The sequence below is a fragment of the Homo sapiens genome, chromosome 1, assembly GCF_000001405.40.
Source record: "Homo sapiens chromosome 1, GRCh38.p14 Primary Assembly".
NCBI classification, from domain to species: Eukaryota; Metazoa; Chordata; class Mammalia; order Primates; family Hominidae; genus Homo; species Homo sapiens.
The window spans coordinates 19,437,144-19,458,651 of NC_000001.11; the positions used below are offsets into that span (position 1 = coordinate 19,437,144).

A 21,508-nucleotide genomic window follows, 5' to 3' on the forward strand; every position below is an offset into this window, starting at 1 on the left:
AAAGGTTTCTCATCCAGACAAATAAATCTGCTGACTGAGAGCTTTCATTAAAAGCAAACAGTCTTGCAATAAGGAACCGTAAGCTAGGAAGGCCTTCCATGAATATATGAAATGTCACAAGTCCTCAGCCTGTGTCTGAGAGTGAGAGAGGGAGAAATTTGAGAAGGTGCTGACCAGCTCAAAGACTGGGATATCATAACCCTAACAACATCCAGTCAGTACATTCCTCACCTACAAACGAAAATCACAGGCAAGGCCACGCACCGCTGAGTCCCAGGAGACACACCTTCCCAAATAAGTGTTTGGGTGGGTTGCTGTTAACTTCCAATAAAGCAGATAAATGTCATCAATTGCTTCCTGTCTTCAGGTCTTGTCAATACAGAATGCTAAGTCCGCTAGCCTCGAAAGCCTGTGTACCTTCCACAGTCTTAAAGACTTGATGGGAAACTGGAAAAGCAATCAGGAACAGAACACCATGGGCACGAGACTCATTCCAGGTACTGTCACAGCAAGATACCCTTCTAGTATTCCAAAGCTAGGAACACACCTCCCCTTGCTCCCGCCAGCCCAGGGAAACCGAATAAGCTGTTTACCAGGGACCCCAGCAAAGCGAGCCTCAAAACTCACCAGTGGGAGAACTTCATGACACAAAGAGAAAACATTGTTGCTTTCATTTGCCAATTTTTAAATACTTAGCTCATAAGTTCTGTGACCAAAACTAATAGAAGGCTCGGGAGGAGAGCTCGGAAAAGCAGAGGGGGTTGTTTTCCTAGGCTCCTTCCTCTAACACGAAGGTGGAAATCAATTCGCTTTCCCCTTCTAACCCTTGAATCCCTGGAGAACGATCGTATTTGGATGGCCTACGAATGCTCAGCTTTCCAGTAGTGCCCCAGACGAGGAATCCATCCATCCAAGTATTGTTCTTACCTCCCACTACCTCCTACGTCAGGGGAGGGGACCGGGCACATGGTTCCGAGGTCATGCTCCTCACTTAGAGGATCGTGGGAATGCTTACGGAAACACTTGTCACGGCGCTGCCAGCTGGAATCGCTGCTTAAGAAGAGGCTGGAAAACTAGGGAGTGCGCGATCAGAGACGGGAGGCTGGGGAGAGCAGGGAGGCAGATGTTGTGTGTTATCACTGAAACAAACACAAGCCATCCAGTTGTGCACTTCAGCTACGTGCGGCTTAGCGTACTTCGATAATGCCTCCAGAAAGTCAGGGAAAGGAAATACAGAGGAAGCTGGGCCTCTCTTCTACCACCTCGAAACTGTCCTGCTGCCAAACAGATCTGGGAAAGCAGGTTTTAATGAGAAAATTCAATTAAGAAATAAACTTAAGTAACCCCATAGCATGCTGAGTGAAGAGAGGAGCCTTTCTCAAGTGTCTTAGTGCCGAGGAGTGGACCAAGGGGCTCTGAAAAATGACCAATGAGGCTTCCCGCCACTCAGAGGAAGCCAAGCTCAGAAAGGCCACGAAGACCATCCTCGCTTAAGCGCGGGGCCAGATTCCAAGGCCAGGTCTGCTCCGCCTCATCCATTTCTTGTGCTGCTTCCCAGTGAGACTCAGCAGAGGACACACGAGGCCACATGAGGTACTCACATCAGGATCTCAGCTCTCTAACACAGGGAGGGGTGCAACGAAGGCAAGGACACAGGTGCTGTGCGTGACTCCCCACCGGGGCCGGCGGGCACTGGGTGGCTCAGAGATCATTAGGAACGGTCGCTCCCTCCCTTTCTCCTGGTTTCCCTTCTGTCCTCTGATAGAGGAAAGTGGCTTAGATCATTCTCACAGGAAGATTAAATCCAGAGCAAGGGAAAGGGATAGGAATCCGTTTCCAATCAATGATGGAAACCAGATTCCCTCATCAGTTGGGATTCATTCTTACATGTTGTAAACATCACAGAGCTCCACCCATGGCTACAAGCGTTCAGGAGGTATGAAGCATGGTGGCACATCCTGGGTGAGAGCTGCCTGTGGCCAAGAAGCCTCCCGGCTTGGGCTGGCCCATCTGAGGGACAGGAAGCAACACGTCTCTTGGAAGTTATCCCCAAAACTCCCATCTCAGAAAGGTGAGATAAAGCACAAGACTGTCCCACTCTTGTAAATGTTCTATATTTACAGGAATAAAGTTTTAAAACCATCTTAGACAACTATAACCTCCTTCCTGTAGAACATACCCATGTACATTTGTACTCATATGGGAAAATATGGTATCAATTATTAATAGTAAAGTATTTGAATTAAAGGTCTTTTGTTCTTGAAGAACCACGGGATCTCAGTTTCAGTGGCCTTGGAGTCCCACTTCCCCCGTATGAAATCCCTAAAGCACTAGGTGTTTTGACCCCTGCTTGATCTTGACTATGGGGAAAATGCACCATGTCCCCAGTCAGCCTGTGTCACGCGGTGCTGGCTGTTTGGCAGCTCTGCCTTACACTGCAGCCTCCAGCACAGAGAGTCCTCTGTCCAGAACCACCTCAAGGATGTGCAAGTTCTCTGCCACATGGCATCCCTCAGACACCTGAAGTGAGCCATCTCAGCCTCCCTCCAAGCAGCTTCCCTCCCGGCTGACACTCCCAGCTCTGCTGTGTCCTGCACATGGCACGCTTCCGAGACCACTCGCCCTCGGCTGTCCCCTGGGGTTCATGCCACTGGATCACTGGGTGCTTAATAGGCGCCAACCATTTCAGAAACCACCTCTTATTCCCGTGAGAGCAACCCCTGCAAGTATTCTGTTTTGGTTTTGTTTGTGCTTTTTCTTTTTGCAGGAATCAAGGCCCTAACATCCAGAACCTCAGCAGTCTCTCTGGCTGCCATCCACATCATCTGCCCAGACACAAAGAGAGCGGGACAGGACCACAGCGTGGCCAGGTGGGGGTGCTACCGGTTTTCCCTACAGCTGACGTAAAATACATATATTACTGCAAATCTAATAACCTGCTTAGAAAGCACTTCAAGGCAGAACCATTCAGGAAATACCTTAATACAAAATACCTTTGTTTTTCTTTTCTTTTTGTTTTTCTGAAGCAGGGTCTTGCTTGCATACCACCATGTCTGGTTAATTTTTGTACTTTTTGGAGAGACGGGGTTTCACCATGTTACCCGGGCTGGTCTTAAACTCCTGGGCTCAAGCGATCCACCTGTCTCAGCCTTCCAAAGTGCTGGGATTACAGGTGTGAGCCATGCACCCGGCCCATAAAATACACCTTTGTAATGAATATGTGAGAAATAGATACTGGAAGAGATGATGTAAAAACAATTTTTTATTTTTATTTAATCTCTCTTATGCAGATTAAGCATTTCCCCTGAAATCCAACCCTCACAGCTCAGTCCAAACTTTTCCTCACCGTGAAAAGGTGAACTCCAGACCAGCCTAAGGCCAACCGTTCTGAATGGCAACCACTAGATTCAAAGCAAGGTGCTGTGATGTTGCTAGGTGTTTGGTTTGTGCTCCTATGACCAGTGTGGGGGGAAGGGACTTGGGCAGACATCCAAGCTGAGGTCCCCTGGGCAGAGTGACTCAGAATTAGTGTCTGGATAGGCATCCGTGCACCCAACGCTACTGACTTACTCCAGTTCATCCTGAAGACAGACTATTACAGTAAAAGCCATGTTTTAAAAAAGTTATAGCTGCTAGGCCGGGCGCGGTGGCTCACGCCTGTAATCCCAGCACTTTGGGAGGCCGAGGAGGGCAGATCACAAAGTCAGGAGATCGAGACCACCTTGGCTAACATGGTGAAACCCCGTCTCTACTAAAAATACAAACAATTAGCCAGGTGTGGTGGCGGGTGCCTGTGGTCCCAGCTACTCGGGAGACTGAGGCAGGAGAATGGCGTGAACCCGGGAGGCGGAGCTTGCAGTGAGCTGAGATCGTGCCACTGCACTCCAGCCTGGGCGACAGAGTGAGACTCCATCTCAAAACAAAAAACAAAAAACAAAAAACAAAACAGTTATAGCTGCTAAAACCTTATGCAGAAAGTCCACGAAATTTGAAAATATACATCATATAAACGTAAGCAAGGCTGAAAACACGTGAATCCCAGTTAGCTCACCCTGCATTCCTGCCCATGCAGCTCGTGACCCAGCTACAGCCTTGGGTCTGTACTCTCCCTGCAGTCAGAGGATGGGGACAGGTGGCACACTGCTGGCCTGAGCACAACAGGAGTCCGTTTGCTTGGGGACATTTCTTGGAAATAAAGTAAGTATAAGGGTGTACTCAGGAACACTGCATTTTATCTGGGACTCGGCTTTGTTGCCCAGCCCAGCACAGGGAAAGAGGAGTTTTAAAGTGTTTCAGAGGAAGAAAGAGAAAACCTTGTTGGCCTCAGGGGAGTGAGGTATAGCACACTCATTCAGCTTCATTTACTGAGTACCTACCTAGTATACACAGCAGGGCATGTTCACCCCTTTTTTTGCATAACAACATACACCCAGGGTGGCTCCAGTATACTCAGAACTACGGAACTGAAGAAGCATCACATCACATCTTTCCCAAGTGATGCTGGGTGGGGTCCCCAGTGTAGAAGGCAGACAGAGAAAAAAAAAAAAAACAGCAGCACCAAGCGGCTCAAAAGCTCAGGAGAGGCCGGGCACAGTGGCTCATGCCTATAATCCCAGCACTTTGGGAGGCCGAGGCGGGCAGATCACCTAAGGTCAGGAGTTCGAGACCAGCCTGGCAAACATGGCAAAACCCCATCTCTACCAAAAGTACAAAAATTAGCTGGGCGTGGTGGTGGATGCCTTGTAATCCCAGCTACTTGGGAGGCTGAAGCAGGAGAATTGCTTGAACCGGGGAGGCGGAGGTTGCAGTGCGCTGAGATTGTGCCACTGCACTCCAGCCTGGGCGACAGAGCAAGACTCTGTCTCCAAAAAAAAAAAAAAAAAAAGCACAGGAGAGGTATCCACAGCCCTTAAAAAGCATCAGTGATAGCTCCAAATGCTGAAAGATGAAGGGCTCTGTCATCTTTAAACCCTGTTTGTGATTTCCAGTTTCAATGAGCCTGTTACATTATTACTGTAATCCTAAAAAAAAGGCTCACAAATTTTTTAACTGACAATTTTCAAAAAACAAAAGTCAGTGCTTAGTCCTGTTGTTTACATCGGGTACACTATTAGAATCTGGCTTTCAGAATGGAGAGACCCAGACTGCTCATGACAATTACACCAGAGGATCTGATTCAAACTGATTCGAGCTGGGGAGTGGGGGGGCGTGGAGTGAGCAGGAGCAGCTGAAACAACGCTGGGCACGGAGGATAACTGCTGAAGTTGAGTGACAGATAATTGGGGGCTCATTATATCACGTGCTTGAAATTCTCTGTAACAAAAAGTTCTCTGAATTTAAATCAGGCAACACTAACTTAAAGTTCCCTTACGGTAAGGCCTGGTTGCCACCTACTCCTAGGCTCTTGCAAGCTTTAAGGCCAGTATGAGTCGAATGTTTACTGGACATTAGGCAGTTTTCTCACACTCACACTCGCACTCGGTCCAGGAAAGCCCTCCCGGGGCAGGGGGCCAAACGAAACCCTAAATGCAGCTTTGTAGCAGCCCAGCTGCTCTGAAGGACTGAAAAACACAGGGTCCTCAAAAATCACCAAAAAACCCTTTGGCTTGGACAGCTTTTCCTTCCCTGGCTTCCTGTAAAGATGCCGCAGGCTCCCTAGAATCTCCAACTCCGGTTTGTTTTTAGGAAAGTTCCGTTGCTCCTGCCTTCAGCTTGGCTGCCTACTCCACGTTACACAAATACACCTCCTCTGTGCGGCGCAAACAACCTCTACGCCAGTGGTGCTGAAGGAGGCCTTCGCTACTTGCATCCATCCTATCAGCGTCCAGAGGAGTGAACACGTAGATGTCTATCACTGACTTCATACCCTTCCCCCAACAAAAAAACCTTAAAATCATAATTACATCCTTCTCTACAATGACCTTTCTTACTTTTATAACAGGATTTTAAAAATCCATTCCTGGCCAGGAGTGGTAGTTCACGCCTGTAATCACAGCACTTTGTGAGGCCAAGCTGGGAGGATGGCTTGAGCCCAGGACTTCCGAGACCAGCCTGGGCAACATACTGAGATCCCATCTCTACAAAAAAAAAAAATACAAAAAAATTAGCCAGGCATGGTAGCGCGTGCCTGTAGTCCCAGCTACTCGGGAGGCTGAGGCAGAAGGATCACCTGAGCCTGGGAGGTCAAAGCTTCAGTGAGCTATGATCACACCACTGTACTCTAGCCTGGGCAACAGAGAAAGACCCTATCTCAAAAAAATAAAAATAAAAGATAAAAATCCATTCCTTTTTTTAAAATAAGACACTGTATAATATTAATATAGCCACGGCAGCACCACTGGACTTACGGCCTGGCTTTAGGGAGACCTCAGACTGTTGACGTCAGTTTCTGGTCCACAGCTGCCTTGGAAACCTCCCTGAGCCAAAATTAAAACAACAGCTTTCTCTCAGGGTATGCTTAAGTTATTGTTGTTGTTGTTGTTGTTTTAAAAAGAAAAAAAGACAACAGGTTTGATGTGACACTCAGTGTCTCCGGTGTGCCAGGCACTGTGTCAGGTACTTTACAAACAAGGAAAGCAAGGCACAGAGAGGCCAGGTCACCTGGGCAAGGCCGCCTGGCAGATGCTGTGTGTGGCCGCAGAGTGAGGCATGTCCCAGACTCAGCCTTCCTCACCAAGAGGGACTCAAAGCCTTCTGGGGCACTCTGTGATGAAAGCTATGGGCTCTCTCCCCAGGGAGTGCACACACACAAAAGTCTGAATGAAATATCTGGTGGGTTCATAGTGCCCCTCTGTTCCCCAAACGTCCCCTCTGGTTAAAAAAACTCTATTCAGGTGAAACCCTGTCTCTACTAAAAATACAAAAATTAGCCGGGCGTGGCGGAGCACGCCTGTAATCCCAGCTACTCAGGGGGCTGAGGCAGGAGAATTGCTTGAACCTGGGAGGCAGAGGTTGCAGGGAGCAGAGATAATGCCACTGCACTCCAGCCGGGGCAACAGAGCCAGACTCCGTCTCAAGGAAAAAAAAAAATTCTATTCAGATTTTCATCAATGAAGAGCTTCAGCAGGAGTGTCTCCCATAGAAAGAGGCAGGTGTGTCTCTGGCCTCAATCCCTCTCTCTCCTGAGGTGTACATGGCCCCAGGGCTTGCCCCTCCATCAGTCTGCAACACCCCCCAGCCCTGAGGTCTCAGACACCCAGCTGCCACCTCCCCACCCTGTGACAACTTGGGCTTGTATCTTATTAAAACACTCTAGGGTCCAACCCTCTTAAAACAATGAAAACATTTTCTCACTCATATAAACAAACAAACCTTTACTGAAAACTAATGACGAACACAAAGGGACTATTTACAGAAAACAGCGTGCCTAGCCCCATCTAGATTATAAACATAACTGCACACTGGCTCTAAGGACCCTGCCATCTTCCCAGGCCCTGGCCTGGCTGTTCTGCCACTCCCCACCTCATGCCTGAAACTGACACAAAGGAACCAATCCTCCAGCCAAAGTAAGCAATTACAACGTGTAGCTGAAATTCAGAGAGGTGATCTAAAAAGCAATTTTGTAAGATAGCTCCAAATTGGGAAGAAAACAAATTTTTGTATTTTATTTTTATTTTTGAGATGGAATCTCACTCTGTTGCCCAGGCTGGAGTGAAGTGGCGCAATCCTGGCTCACTGCAACCTCCACCTCCCAGGTTCAAGCGATTCTCTTGCCTCAGCCTCCCAAGCAGCTGGGACTACAGGCGCCTGCCACTACACCCAGCTAATTTTTGTATTTTTAGTAGAGACGGGATCTCACCACGTTGGCCAGGCTGGTATTGAACTCCTAATCTCCAGTGATCTGCCCGCCTCGGCCTCCCAAAGTGCTGGGTTTATAGGTGTAAGCCACCACGCCTGGCCTTTTTAAAATTTTTTTGACCCACGAGATCTTTGACACAAAGATATCCATTTCAGCATTATTTATGATAGCAAAAAGTGAAAACAGCCTTCATGTCCAACATGAGTAAATTAAGGTACAACTGTAAGATGAAGCACTGTACGATCACTAACAGGAAGTTTGCAAAGGTGTTTTAAGCAAGTGGGAATAAGACTTATGTGACCCAATAGGAAAAAGCAGGATGCAAATTTCAGAGCCATATTTTAAAAATGTGCTCAGAAGACTCGAACAAAAACCCACCAAAAAAGCAAAAGTTGTTTCATCCATGAGGGGGAATTTTGAGTGACTTTTTTTTTTTTAATTCTCTTTATACATTTTGGCATTTTCCAAGAGTAAAACATGCACTTTCCCCGCTTTGCCCTTTCCTTCTGATTATAAATGGAACATAGGCTCTCTGTAGGAAATTCAAAGCATTACAGAAAGTGAAACATCCCCCTGTGATCTCACCACCTAGAGACTCCCCAAAGGTAACTGCCAATAATAACTTGGTTCCCATTCTTCCAGATGTTTTCCAACAGGGATTACTTTTAGAATCAAATAATTTCTCTAAAAAATAATCCGCATGATTCCATACATATGAAATGGCCAGACAGAAAGTGAATGGTGAGCTGGGGCAGGAGTGGGCATGAAGAATAACTGCAAATGGATGCAGGAGGTGTTCTGGGGGTGATGGAAATGTTCCAAAATTGGATTGTGGTTATGGATGCACAACTCTGTAAATTTCCTAAAAATGTACAAAACCGCACTGTACACTTAAAGCTGGGGAATCTTATATGTAAATCAGATCTCAATAAAGCAGCTGAAAAAAGAACAAAACAACCACTAGAGGCAGGGAGTGCTGGGCTGTGCAGGAGGGCAGTCCATGGCTTTATGCTCTGCCCTCAAGAGCACATGGTAAGACCCTGTAGCAGGAACAGAGGAAGCTGGAGGCCTCTCGGCATCACCTGGACAAACAGCCCTCGGCAGAGAGGCTCAACAGATAACCTGAGAGCGGCAGGGTCAGCGAGGTCAGTTCCAGTCTACACGGGAGGCAGGAAGAGCGCCAGCCCTGAAAATGCATTCCTGAGGCTCAGGCTGCACTGCCAGGCTCGCTTTAAAGCCAGGCCAAAGGAAAACAGCACTGGCCGGGGTGTCCAAATACTTTACCAAGTTCAGGATGCACTGCGTGCAGGAAAACTGAGACCATTTTTCTCTGTTTCAACAGAAACTTGAAAACCACCCCTGACAACATGTTAGTCCCTGGAAGTACTCAATTACGGTGAAAAGCCATCGGCAAAAGTTAAAGTGAGTAATATGACAGTGAGCCATGTAAGAAGTAAAGGTGAGTGGAAGATTATGAACTACATAAAAGGCACAATGATCTGAGTCTAGAAAGGCAATCTGGAAGCCTGAAAAGGTACAAATGGGTGCAATTCTCTTAGAAAGTAATGGGCAAGTAAATGTCAAAAGCGTTTAAAATATTCATAACCTCCTAGGAATCTACCCTAATGAAACCACTCAAGCTGATGAACAAAGATGCCCACTGCTCTACCCACTGCTCCACGGCAAAAAAAACTGGAAATAATCTCCCCCAACAACAGGGAAGTGATCATCTACTGTGTAACCCTTACAATTGCACAGTGTTAAAAACGTGGGAAAATGTTTTATGTTTAATTAGCGAAACTGAATATAAAAATTTACTATCAAGTGAGTAAAAAAATGCCCAAATCCTGGAAATGATATATAAAAACGTTAACAGTGTTTTTCTTTAGGTGGAAAGATTGATTTTTTCCCCTCCTTTCATATGTATTTAGTGAACTCCAAGTTTTTTCCATCACATGATTTCAGTCTCTAAAAATCCGTGATCCATCACGCCAACTGGATTTTGTCAATTTTACCCTCTATGGTTTGTACTGTGCAAAACTAGGCTTCACTTTATTTTCCAAACAAAAAATACTATTACTGAGTATGTTTTCTCAAATTACCACCCCACTGCCCAAAAAATGACACCTGCCACACTCAAGATTATGGTGGCCCCCAGGAGGTGTGCCCATCCCAGCCCTCACTGGGTGCAAGCTCTCTCTTTCTTCTATCATCCTTCTGCAGAGAAGGATTTTGTAATTGTTGTTGCTTTGTTTTAAAGTGGGAAAGAAAAATATTGACGAACTTAAAACTCGACATAGACAGAGACATTGGGCAGCACCAGACCTAATCTTTTTTTTTTTTTTTTTTTTTTTTGAGATGGAGTCTCACTCTATTCAAGCAATTCTCCTGTCTCAGCCTCCTGAGCAGCTGGGATTACAGGCACGCTCCACCACATCCAGCTAATTTTTTTTTTTTTTTTTTTTGGATTTTTAGTAGAGATGGGGTTTCACCATGTTGGCCAGGCTGGTCTCAAACTCCTGACCTCGGGTGATCTGCCCACCTCGGCCTCCTAAAGTGCTGGGATTATAGGCGAGAGCCACTGCACCTGGCCCAGACCTAATCTTTGAGGGAACTCAGCATCATCATAGAAGGCTGAAACCACAAGATCTATTTTTTGTGCCTTCCTAAGAGTGTTGTGTGCATGCAGCAATCCAGCGAAATGGTGAGTTGCACAGATACACCTGGGGGATGCCAGCCTAAGATCAGGGCCAGGGTGGCACAGCAGCACCCTGGGAGCTGGTGGAGGAGGGCACGGCTCACTGACGCCATCCGACCCAGCCCCAGCAGCTCGCAGGCCACACTGCTCCTCTCCGCCTCGGTGGCCTTGCCAGAATGCTGGGCCTCTCTGATGCACTGGTACTATCTAAGCAATCGGCAACTAACAGTAGTGAAAGCGTAGTTCATTTTAGGTTTAAGAATTAGAACAGGCTCAATGTTGCTCTCTAATCACACCCTCACTCCCCTGCACTCTAATAAGCTTCCGTCAGTGTGAAGAAAAGAGGGCGGAGGGAGGGCTTACTCGAGGGAACTGTGAAACACACTCCCCCAGGAGTGGGTGGAGCTCAGGACACCTCTCAGGCCTGGCACAGGTGGGCTTTTCTTTCGGAGGAAAATTAAGTAGTAGCCAGTCAACCTATCAGCCAACTGCGCATCAAGGGGCCACAGTCTATAGGATGGGAAGCCAAAATATCTCCAAGCAAGAAGGGTGGTGCGCCGCTGCGCACATCCCAAATACCCGCTTCTCTCCAGGCACTGCCCACCCATGAGGGACTTTCCCTTTTCCAAGTGGCAGAGCTCCACTCCTGGCTGTCAACCACTGTGAATGGGACATCTCCTCTCCTCCTCCCTTCCACCCTTTCGGGAGAGCATTTGATTAATATTTTTCTACTTTTGTTGCCCCAAGTTGAGGAGTGTTTAGAGATGGAAAATAATACATTACTTCCCTCTCTGACAACCGCCTTAATCCACAAAGCCCAGAGGTAAAAACTCACAAGCTGTTTCTTCTCTGAACCGCAGAAACAAACCTGGTTGCAGTTGGGGCACTGTGGACCAGAGAAAGATGCAGTGTTTCATCATTACCTACCCATGATAAATGCTGTAGGGGTTTTTTCTTATTCAACTGCAGATGATTCACATTAGAAGCTGCCTGGTGACCAGACTAACTTTCCTCCCTACTTGGGCAAAAAGTTGTCACCTAGCCAACACATTTCCTGGGGGTAGACTGTGCCTTGTGGATTCCATCAGCTTTGCTATTTACTTCTCCCTTCACCCTGGCAGTTAACATTTCAACCCTGATGGCCACGGCCACCTGTTGCTCCTCCTCCCCCCTCAGATCTAAAGTGCGTGTCACCTTTCTAGGTTCTGGGTCACATCTTCTGGGCTGGCCAAGGCCTGGGCGAGAGAACCCTGTATCCTGGAACTGCCTGGGCATTGGAGGAGGTGATGGGTTAATAACAATCGTTTTGCAGGCAGGGGAGGCGAGGGGGCAAGAGGAAGTGGAAACATGACGTGACTAGGGACGCTGCCCCAGGCTGCTCGCTGCCCGCTCCTGACTTCTCCCATCTGGTTTCCATCTGACCCAAGCAGCTGGCCAGATGGTTTTCATTTGCAGATGAAACCCCAGCAGTTCCATTGCCACAAAAACTCCTGACCGTAGAGTCTCTGTAAGGCTGATAACGCACAAAGTGCACTGCGGTGTCTCTGAGCAGGCCTGAAAGGTCATGCTTCCCAAAGCCGGAACCAGGACAACAGGAACAAAGTGGGGTCTTGACACTTGAAAATTCCGATGACAGCCAGAAGAGGAAATGCACTGGCCTGGCGAGATGCGAGTCACGGTCAGGCATGGAGCTGAGGAACGGGGAAGATTTTGCCAGTGAATCAGACCTTGTCTCTATGCCATCCACTAGCATCCTTAAGGTGAGGAAAGAACCAGCAGGTCTCAGGGTGAACCATGGTATGTCCACTCAGTGGAACAGTACGAAACAGCTAAACCCAGGTTCGTAAAGAAAATGTAGGCTGGACTGGCTGGGGGCTGTGGCCCACACCTGTAATCTCGGCACTTTGGGAAGCTGAGACGGGCAGATCACTTGAGATCAGGAGTTCGAGACCAGCCTGGCTGACACGGCAAAACTCTGTCTCTACTAAAAACACAAAAATTAGCTGGGCGTGGTGCGTGCCTACAGTCCCATCTACTTGAGAGGCTGAGGCATGAGAAACCTTGAACCTAAGAGGCAGAGGTTGCAGTGAGCCAAGATCATGCCACTGCACTCTAGCCTGGTTGACAGAGCAAGAGTCTGTCTCAAAAAAAAAAAAAAAAAGAGAGAGACAGAGAGAAAGAAAGAAAGAGAGCGAGAGAAAGAGAAAGAAAAAAATATAGGCTGGGCACAGTAGCTCACGCCTGTTATCCCAGCACTTTGAGGGGCTGAGTCAGGAGAATCGATTTGAGCCCAGGAGTTTGAGATCAGCCTGGGCAACATAAGGAGACTCTGTCTCTACAAATAATTAAAAAATTAGCCAGGCATGATGTTGCGCACCCGTAGTCCCACTTACTCACAGGAGGCTGAGGTGGGAGGACTGCTTGAGCCCAGGAGGTGGGGGCTGCAGTGAGCAGGAATTGTACCATTGCACTCCAACCTGGGCAACAGAGCAAGACCCTGTCTCCAAAAAAAAAAAAAAAAAAAAAAAAAGAAAAGAAAAGAAAAGAAGAAAAAATGTAGTAATACAATACATGGAAATAGTGATAATGCAGGCTGAGTATTAGTTTTCCTTATCTGAAATGCTGGGGACCTGAAGTGTTTTGGATTTTGAATTTTTTCCAATTTTGAAATACTTGCATTATACTTACTGGTTGAGAATCCCAAATCAGAAAATCCAAAATCCATGTCCCAAAGAACATTTCCTTTGAGCCTCATGTCAGTGCTCACAAAGTTTTGGGTTTTGGAGCATTCTGGGTTTTAAATTTTCACATTAGGGATACTCAGCCTGTAAGAGTGTGTCAGGCACTGTTTTAGGCATGTAAAATGTGTCAACTCAATCTTCATAGCATGCCTGTAAGACAGCTTATGTTATTAATCCTACTTCATAGATGAGGGGACTGAGGTAGGGAGAGGTTAAGGAGCTTACCAAATATCACACAGGTAATAAGTGGCAGAGCTGGAAGCCTGGTTCCAGAGACCCAGGTGAATCCCAAAAAAGAGAAGCTGGGCACAAGGCCCCAGGGAAGCAAAAACCTGAAAAACTATCCTTTCACACTTGTGCAGGGTCAGTTGATGTTAGGCTTGTATTGCAAAATTTATACTTCTGAAGAAGGATAAAGCAGCAAGAGGGAAAAAGTATCTAAAATGCAGACACATATACCACATTTGTTTTGGAAAAGACAAGTCAGGAGCCCACAAAAGGTTATGAAAAACCCCAGTGACACCACCACCAATGTTTGTCTTTGGAATAATGGAAAGAGATGTGTATTACTTGTAAGAATGATCTCTGCTATTACATGACTCATTCCTGCATGCAAGGACTGCTCTCATCTGGTGCCAAGGAAAGACTGCTGAATTATGGAATTGCAAACATTATCACTGACTGTTACTCACAACACTGCAGGGCAAACTGATATGCGCCAAATCAGCCATGTTAAGGGGTTGTTATTGCACCTCTCCTCAGGACCAGCTGTTGCTATTTCGCATTAAGACTTTAACCATATCTTAGTCCAAGAACTCATCAACCTCAGCAGTTGAGTTGCTTGGAAATGCCCAGGGTCCACACAAGTTCCCCAGGGGAACCCACCATGGGTCTGGGGACTGGAGTCATGGGACAAAAAGGGGAATGGTAGAGGCAGAGAACAGAAACAGGGAACGGAAACAACAGATAAAAGGAAATCACTGACACAGATGGCATGCAAAAGGCCTTTCAGAGTGGAAATGGACAATCCCGAAATTGGCAACATATGATGTGCTCTTTATTCCTGCTCCCCACCGGCATGTGGTAGAAGGATGCAGAGGAAAGGACGGTAATGGGTAAGATAATATGAATACCACCCTACAGGCACGTGTCATCTAGGAGCCTACCGAGTGTCCCACCTTAGTGATCTGACCCTCAGACAAAACTGAGAGGGAGACGCCACCATCCCCACCCTGCAGATGGGAGACAGAGGCTCTGGGGAGTGGTCCCCAGAAACATGTGGCTACTCAGAGACAAGGCTAGGACCAGGGGGTGATCACTTTCCACATGGACAGTGTGGAAATATCAGCCAATAATGTGTCCTCTAATCTATTTATTATGGCCTCCACCTCTCTGATGACTTTAAAGTGCCTCACCCTCAACATAGCTGAAACCGAACTAGGTTTGCCCCACCGAAACCTAGCAGTTATCATGCAGATAACAGCTAACATTTACTGAGCATTTATTATGTGCCAATAATAATGCTATGAAGCAATTTTACTGTTTATTATTGTAATTTACTGTTTATTATTGTAATTATTATTTTATTATTTCTCTCCACCCAAGTACCAACCCTCCCCCACTTTGTCCAAGAGACCACAGTGATTGCCCTACACCTGCCCCAACCCATCCTCTCTGCACATCTGGGTCAGGGCAAGCTTTCCAAGACTTACCTGGCCAGTCCTCACTGCCCACCCCCTGCAGTCCTCTTACCTGATCATCCCTCCATCCCTCTCCATCCCATGTCCCAGCCTGCTCCTGCCCCCGACTCAGCTCCTTCCTGCCAGGCTTCTGCATGTACTATTCCTTCTGCCTGGACTGCCACCCCCTCAGCTCAAGCCTGCTCCCCCGCAACGGCTCTAGGGCAGCATCTCCCTCCAGATGCCATGACCCCGTAGTTGTTGATCATTGCCCCCACTGGGACATAGGCTCCAGGGGAGCAAAGGAAGAGGCTGTTCTTGGTCGCCTCTGTACTGCCCGAGTCCGGCACAGTGGTCGGCTCATAGCCAATGAATAAACATTCCCGGAACAATTCTATGACTCTCAAATTAGCCTGAGCACCAAAAAGAGGAGCAGGGTCTGAGTTGTGGGCTGAGCTATCCTGGTGCCAAGGCAGGCCTTCCACTGCCACGTACACACCCTGAAGGCAGAGTCAGCACGCCCAAATCCTGTGGGGCCTGATGGTGACCACTCAAGCTCGGACAAACCCCAAGTGTGATCTCACTGGAATCCATGTCAACGCCCAAGTCCTCAACTCCAGCAGAAACTCCCCATCTGTTCCTCTGCTCTCCTCTCCACCACACTGCCCTCCTGCCACTGGACCCTCACCACTCCCCTCCAAGCCCCACCTTCGGCAGTCAGAATAATTTCTTTCTTTTTTTTTTTTTTTTTTGTCTTTTTTTGAGATGGAGTCTCACTCTGTCGCCCAGGCTAGAATGCAGTGGAGCGCTCTTGGCTCACTGCAACCTCTGCCTCCTGAGTTCAAGCGATTCACCTGCCTCAGTCTCCCAAATGGCTGGGATTATAGGCACCTGTCACCATGCCCAACTAATTTTTTTTATTTTTAGTAGACATACAGTTTCACCATGCTGGCCAGGCTGGTCTCGAACTCCTGACCTCAGGTGATCCACCTGCCTCAGCCTCCCAAAGCACTGGGATTAGAGGCGTGAGCCACCGTGCCTGGCTGGCAGTCAGAATAATTTATTTTAACATAAATAAAGTCATCGCCCAGATTGACACCTTCCAGCTTCTTGTGACTGTTAGACTTACAACCTGGCATACAGGCCCGGTGTCACCGGGCCCCTGTGCTACTGATAACTAACAGCACGTCTTTTATTCTATTTTTTTGTTTTGTTTTTTTGAGTTGGGGTCTCACTTTGTCGCCTAGGCTGGAGTGCAGTGGCACAATCTCGGCTCACTGCAGCCTCCACCTCCCAGGTTCAAGCAGTTCTCCCACCTCAGCCTCCTGAGTACCTGGGATTACAGGGGCGCACCACCACGCCAGCTAATTTTTGTATTTTTAGTAGAGACGGCGTTTCACCATGTTGGCCAGGCTGGACTCGAACTCCTGACCTCAGGTGATCTACCTGCCTCGGCCTCCCAAAGTGCTGTGACTACAGGCGTGAGCCACTGCCCCTGGCCACCAGCGCCTCTTTCTATGTCTCAACCTGGGAAGCCTTGTACCCGTGGCCCCTTCCTTGTCTTCTCCTCCCACCTGGAAGGCCTCTCTCTCCTTCTAGGTCTTCCCTGTCACCTGACTTCACAACACATCTCACAACTCAAAATGACTGTGTTTGTATCACAATCACAATCTGTCCCGCCCAGAATAGCAGGGGCTTTGTCTTGTTCACCATCCCTGTGAATATTTGCTGAATCCACCCCTTTTACTATGTGAATAGTGAACAATTACTGAGCCCTTGCTGGGGGCTAGGCAGTGAAATGCACATTAGATGCATTAACTCATCCCCTGGTAGACATCCCTACTGCCATTTTACAGATGAAAATGAGGAACAAAGAAGCTAAGGACTGGGGCCACTTGGGACTCACGCCCAGGCAGCCAGCTGCAGCGTCTGCAATTTCAACCCTCCCCTAAGTGCGCTGCCTCCTGGAGTTGTAGAAGGCTACAGACTCATCCCCCAGAGTGGCCAGGGCTCCTGGAGGGCAGGCATCACATCTTAGGTTTCTCCAGGCTCAGGCCCTCCAACAGGAGGTCCTGAATAAAAGCTCAGGAATAACTGCAGTTCAAGGAAGCCTTGGCTAGAAAACCCTACAATAAAAGGCAGGCAAGACTGGCCATGAGTAGCGCCATCCCTGCAGTGCTGATAATTCACACCTGCACTCACAGGTAGGCTAAGGCAGTCCCTCAGGTGGGCTGAAGAATGAAATGCTGGCCACGTAAGATGTAAACCCCAAAGAGCAAGTTTGTCCCATCAGGTCCCCTATGTTACCCCATAATATCTGCATCCTGATCTTTAAAACTCTTTTCCAGAGAAAGTCAAGCAAATGATATTTGGAGGGCTTTCCTGCTGCTTTTATTTTGGAAAGTTATATAAGAGTCCTAAGAGTCACTCCTGAGCGCTTAGAGTAGTGGCACATTTATGCACATTCCTCACTTGGTCCTTACAACAACCCTCTGAGTCACACACGATCATCCCAAATGACAATTGTGGAAACCGAGGCTCAGTGACCTGAGGGACTTGCCTAGGGCCACAGAGCTGCCAAGCAGGAAATCTAGGCTGCCTGAGTGCAAGCTCGCAGTCTGTACTGTAATGCCAAAGGCTTCACTAACTCATTTCAGAAAGCAATTGTCACGATCTTCTCTAAACTATTAATACTTACAAATACTCATTCAAGGAGTAGAGCTTAGAGGCTGTGAGGCAAAGGCAGAACCATTTCTGGGTGACACATCAGAAAATTACTGTTCCGTTCATCTAAATGATGTTTAAAATGCCCACTGCAGCATGAAAGTGCCTCTGCTGAGAAACTGCAGACATCAGCAGGAGCCATAAAGGAAAGATAAACTCTTGGTAAAGGGAAGGAAGAGGGGCTGAGTGGGTGAGTTACAGCTGAATTCACAGGACACCGGTCCCGCAAAGAGGAAGCCAAATTGCAGTCCAAGCAGCCAGGATGCGGAGGGCCCGGAGGGCTTGGAACCCTGCAGGCAGCCTGGCTGTGGAGACAGAGCAGGACAAGCTCTGAGACACCCCCAGGAGTGGCAGACAGAGACAATTCATGCCTCCCGTCCCGGGAGCAGGCAAGGGTTCCTGGGTTAAGGGGAAACAAAGGGGTCCATCTAAAAAATATGAAAGGCCTGGCTGTGCTGAGTGTGGGTGAATAAGGTGGAGTATGGTTAACAAAACGATTCCACATCAGCAAATGCTAACACAGGGCTCCTGGGATCCCATAGAGAGAGAGTCTATTTCCATTTTTATTTCTTAACTCAAAAAATAAAATTAAACTTTACTTTCTAGAAGAGGACGATGAGAGAAGATCGCTGGGTGGCCACGTGATGGATAAGACATGCAGGCCTCCCTTGCTGGTCCCCACTGGCCTCATTAAGGCTGGGACTATTATTTCTCAACACACATGGTCTGTCCTGTCACACGCTAGTGGTTTCCAACAAGCGGGATGCCCACAGCAAGTGCCCTCCAATCCGTCACAGTCCCTGCCGCATCTTGGGTCTCTTGACCTGGCCTATTTACTCTTATCTACCAGCCACTGTGGGCCTTTGGATTTGCATCCTGCTTGATAAAAATCACTGAGGAGCTACAAAGAGATGAGATTGGCCCTGACGCCAATTGTCACTCATCTCAGGTCCTTCCAAAAGAGCTGGCAGACTCAGAGGTCCATGGACACTGCCACATCCAGTACCACAGGCTACAACACATACACTTCCTTTCTAAGCCATGAATAGGTCACAATCTCAAGCAAGTTATATACACAGGAAAAACAAGGGCCAGTTTCCTACATTTTATAAGATTCTTATATGCAAGGCTCTTGTTTATTTGTTTTTCAGACCAAGTCTCACTCTGTTGCCCAGGGTGGAGTGCAGTGGCACGATCTCAGCTCTGCAACCTCTGCCTCCTGGGTTCAAGCGGTTCTCCTGCCTCAGCCTCCCAAGTAGCTGGGACTACAGGCGCGCACCATCATGTCTGGCTAATTTTTGCATTTTTGGTAGAGATGGAGTTTTGCCATGTTGGCCAGGCTGGCCTTGAACTCCTGGCCTCAAGTGATGTGCCTGCCTTGGCCTCCCAAAGTGCTGAAATTACAGGTGTGAACCACCAGGCCCGGTCCACAAGGCTCATAATTTTAAGGGCAACCAACAATCTGCTGCTATAGTAAACAGAACACATTGAAGAGAGAAGCAAGAGCTTTGAGAAGTAAACAAAAGAAATTTTAAAATAATCTGAATACTAATGACACCTCTAAGAAGAGGGTCAGGTGCAAATCCAAGCCAGGATCAGGTATTCCATTGGAAACTAGTTTTTTAAAAAAATAAATCCCACAAGATAATCTCTGGTTTCACACAGAGACTGGTATACAACAGGACCATCTTTCCAGCGTTAGCCTCAATATCCCAGTCTTGGGTTCCCTTCAACGTAGGTGTTCTTGGTTCATCGACTGCCTCACATGGAATGCAGAACTATCCCCCTACCCATGCACGATTCCCCCGTACAGAAAAAAATTCAGAGCAAGAATACTCCAGCCCACAGACCCAGCCTGTCTTTAAGGATCAGACCATCCCACAACGTGACATCCTCGAACAGACTATTTCACTGGGGCTGCCCATGGAGTCTATTTGGGAAAGGCAAACAGAGCGGCCGATGGCAGGGGCTGCTCAGATCACAGGAATCCCAAACCTAACAAAAACCCAATAATGTTATAAAGGGAGAAGGGAAGATGATGCTTAAATCTCAAACACAACTTCAGCAAAAGGTATTGTTGCATGGGTCATCTGTATTCCTCCAGGACAGAAGATGGTAAGAGCACTAATAAAGGTCATTATACTCATTTGAGCAGGGCACTCTTGAAGATTTTCATCCAGGAAATGGACCAGCATTCCAAACTATTACTTAGAGATTAGCTCTGTGTGTGTTGGAGGGTAGCCTAAAGGGTTAGGGTTAACCCCAGAAAGGCAGGAAGTTCCAGAAAAAAGGCAGTCATTCTACCCAAGTCTTGTTGGAACTAAAGCACAGCGGGAAAAGCGAGCAAACCAAAGGGGAATTAGAGACACTCACAAAGGGAGGGGCCTTGGGATTAATGGACTCTCTAATTTTTGAATTTCCTGAGGTTTACGGCTGATTAGGCCCCTTAGCCATACTGTAATGTGATCAAATTTCAACTGGGTTCACAGCACAGTTGAAGGTAGAAGATGACACAGACATCACCAGTGGGCCCCAGAGACTACAGACAAGGTCCGCAGTGCTCGCTTCCGGGCTTGATCGCACTAATTAGGCACCTTTAATTCCCCAAACAATGGCGCACAGGCTGGCTCAGAGGGCACTGTGTGATCCACCGCATGCTTGAGGAGCTCTTACAATACTATGTACTGATAATTCTCTAATTTGGTACAAGCATATTTAAGCACATGGCTCAAAGGTGGAGAGAAATGACATTGCAACCCGCAAACACATATGCACAAAAATATTCAACTTTGCCAAGTGAAGACATACAAGTGAAAAATGAGGGACGATGTACTGCTGACTAAATTAGAAATTAAGGGAGAAAAGCGCCCAGTGTTAACAAAGAAGCAATAACCTGATGCTCACACTGCGGACGGTGTTATGAATCGGCCTGACACTTTGGAAAGCAACTTGGCAGAATTTGTCAAGAGCTGTAAAAGTGTTCATACTGTGGCACGGTAACGTTACTCCTGGGAATCCAAACACAGAAACCACTTCAGAAGGACCAGTCACTGTGACATCGCTTATAAGGAAAAAAAAGAAAAACAACAACAACTGGAAAAAACCTAAAGGGCAACATCAGGGAAGTTACCCCCCTGCCATCTGATGTTTAAGGAGTAAACAGCCAGTAAGCAATGATGGTTGTAAGGACTTCCTGATAATGTGGGAAAAGTCTTAGGTCATAATAATTTTTAAAAAGGAAGATGAATAATTATATGTAGCCTATGACCACAACTAATCAAAAACCTCATGTATATAAGAAATAAAAGGAGTTGCCAAAAAAAAAAAAAAAAACACTAAACTGGTGCAAGTGACTTTTTTCCTTCTGTGATCTGAGCTTTCCACAATGATGCTTTATTAAGTTGAACTACATGAAATTGCCAACACACAGCCATTTCTGACCTACACAAGTGGCACTTTCACATGGGTCAACATAATATTTTTTGAAAGTTTTAATACTTTTATGAAAGTATTTTTATGAAAGCTTTAATACTTTTATGAAAGTATTTATCCAAGTTTTGTTTTGTTTTGTTTGTTTGCTTAATTTTGAGACGGAGTTTCACTCCTGTTGCCCAGGCTGGAGTGCAGTGGTGCGATCTCAGCTCACTGCAACCCTCCACCTCCCGGGTTCAAGTGATTCTCCTGCCTCAGCCTCCCAAGTAGCTGGGATTACAGGTGCCTGCCACCAAGCCTGGCTAATTTTTTGTACTTTTAGTAGAGACGGGGTTTCGCCATGTTGGGCAGGCTGGTCTTTAACTCCTGACCTCAGGTGATCCGCTCGCCTCAGCCTCCCAAAGTGCTGGGATTACAGGCGTGAGCCACCATGCCC

The 21,508-nt window shown here is 47.3% G+C and overlaps 1 protein-coding gene and 1 long non-coding RNA gene across 12 annotated transcripts in view, besides 3 other annotated features; one reads left to right on the plus strand and one right to left on the minus strand.

The window, feature by feature from the left end:
* Window positions 1-21,508, minus strand: part of CAPZB (capping actin protein of muscle Z-line subunit beta) — a 146,765-nt gene that overhangs the window by 98,369 nt on the left and 26,888 nt on the right. For 2 of the 11 annotated variants that reach the window (XM_047431397.1, XM_006710938.5), the window contains exon 1: window positions 14,990-15,087. The exons of 7 other annotated variants lie outside the window; for them this stretch is intronic. In XM_047431397.1, the coding sequence (XP_047287353.1) occupies window positions 14,990-15,073 (84 nt within the window). In that variant the 5' untranslated portion in view covers window positions 15,074-15,087. Of the gene's footprint in view, window positions 1-927; window positions 2,778-11,690; window positions 12,188-14,989; window positions 15,088-21,508 lie in introns of those variants that run through there. 2 more of the 11 variants (NM_001206541.3, XM_047431400.1) reach the window with 2 other exon arrangements.
* Window positions 2,755-9,393, plus strand: LOC124903869 (uncharacterized). Its single transcript, XR_007065525.1, has 3 exons — window positions 2,755-2,870; window positions 4,073-4,197; window positions 9,141-9,393. It is a non-coding gene; the product is annotated as an uncharacterized LOC124903869 (long non-coding RNA).
* Window positions 10,100-10,767: an enhancer, noted in NCBI's record as "H3K27ac-H3K4me1 hESC enhancer chr1:19773737-19774404 (GRCh37/hg19 assembly coordinates)". NCBI's record gives its function as "activates a minimal SCP1, AML or CMV promoter by ChIP-STARR-seq in primed H9 embryonic stem cells {active_cell/tissue: H9 hESC(primed)}" and the evidence as "EXISTENCE:reporter gene assay evidence [ECO:0000049][PMID:30033119]".
* Window positions 11,522-11,611: an enhancer, noted in NCBI's record as "active region_302". NCBI's record gives its function as "activates an Ori minimal core promoter by ATAC-STARR-seq in GM12878 lymphoblastoid cells {active_cell/tissue: GM12878}" and the evidence as "EXISTENCE:reporter gene assay evidence [ECO:0000049][PMID:35858748]".
* Window positions 17,800-17,979: an enhancer, noted in NCBI's record as "active region_303". NCBI's record gives its function as "activates an Ori minimal core promoter by ATAC-STARR-seq in GM12878 lymphoblastoid cells {active_cell/tissue: GM12878}" and the evidence as "EXISTENCE:reporter gene assay evidence [ECO:0000049][PMID:35858748]".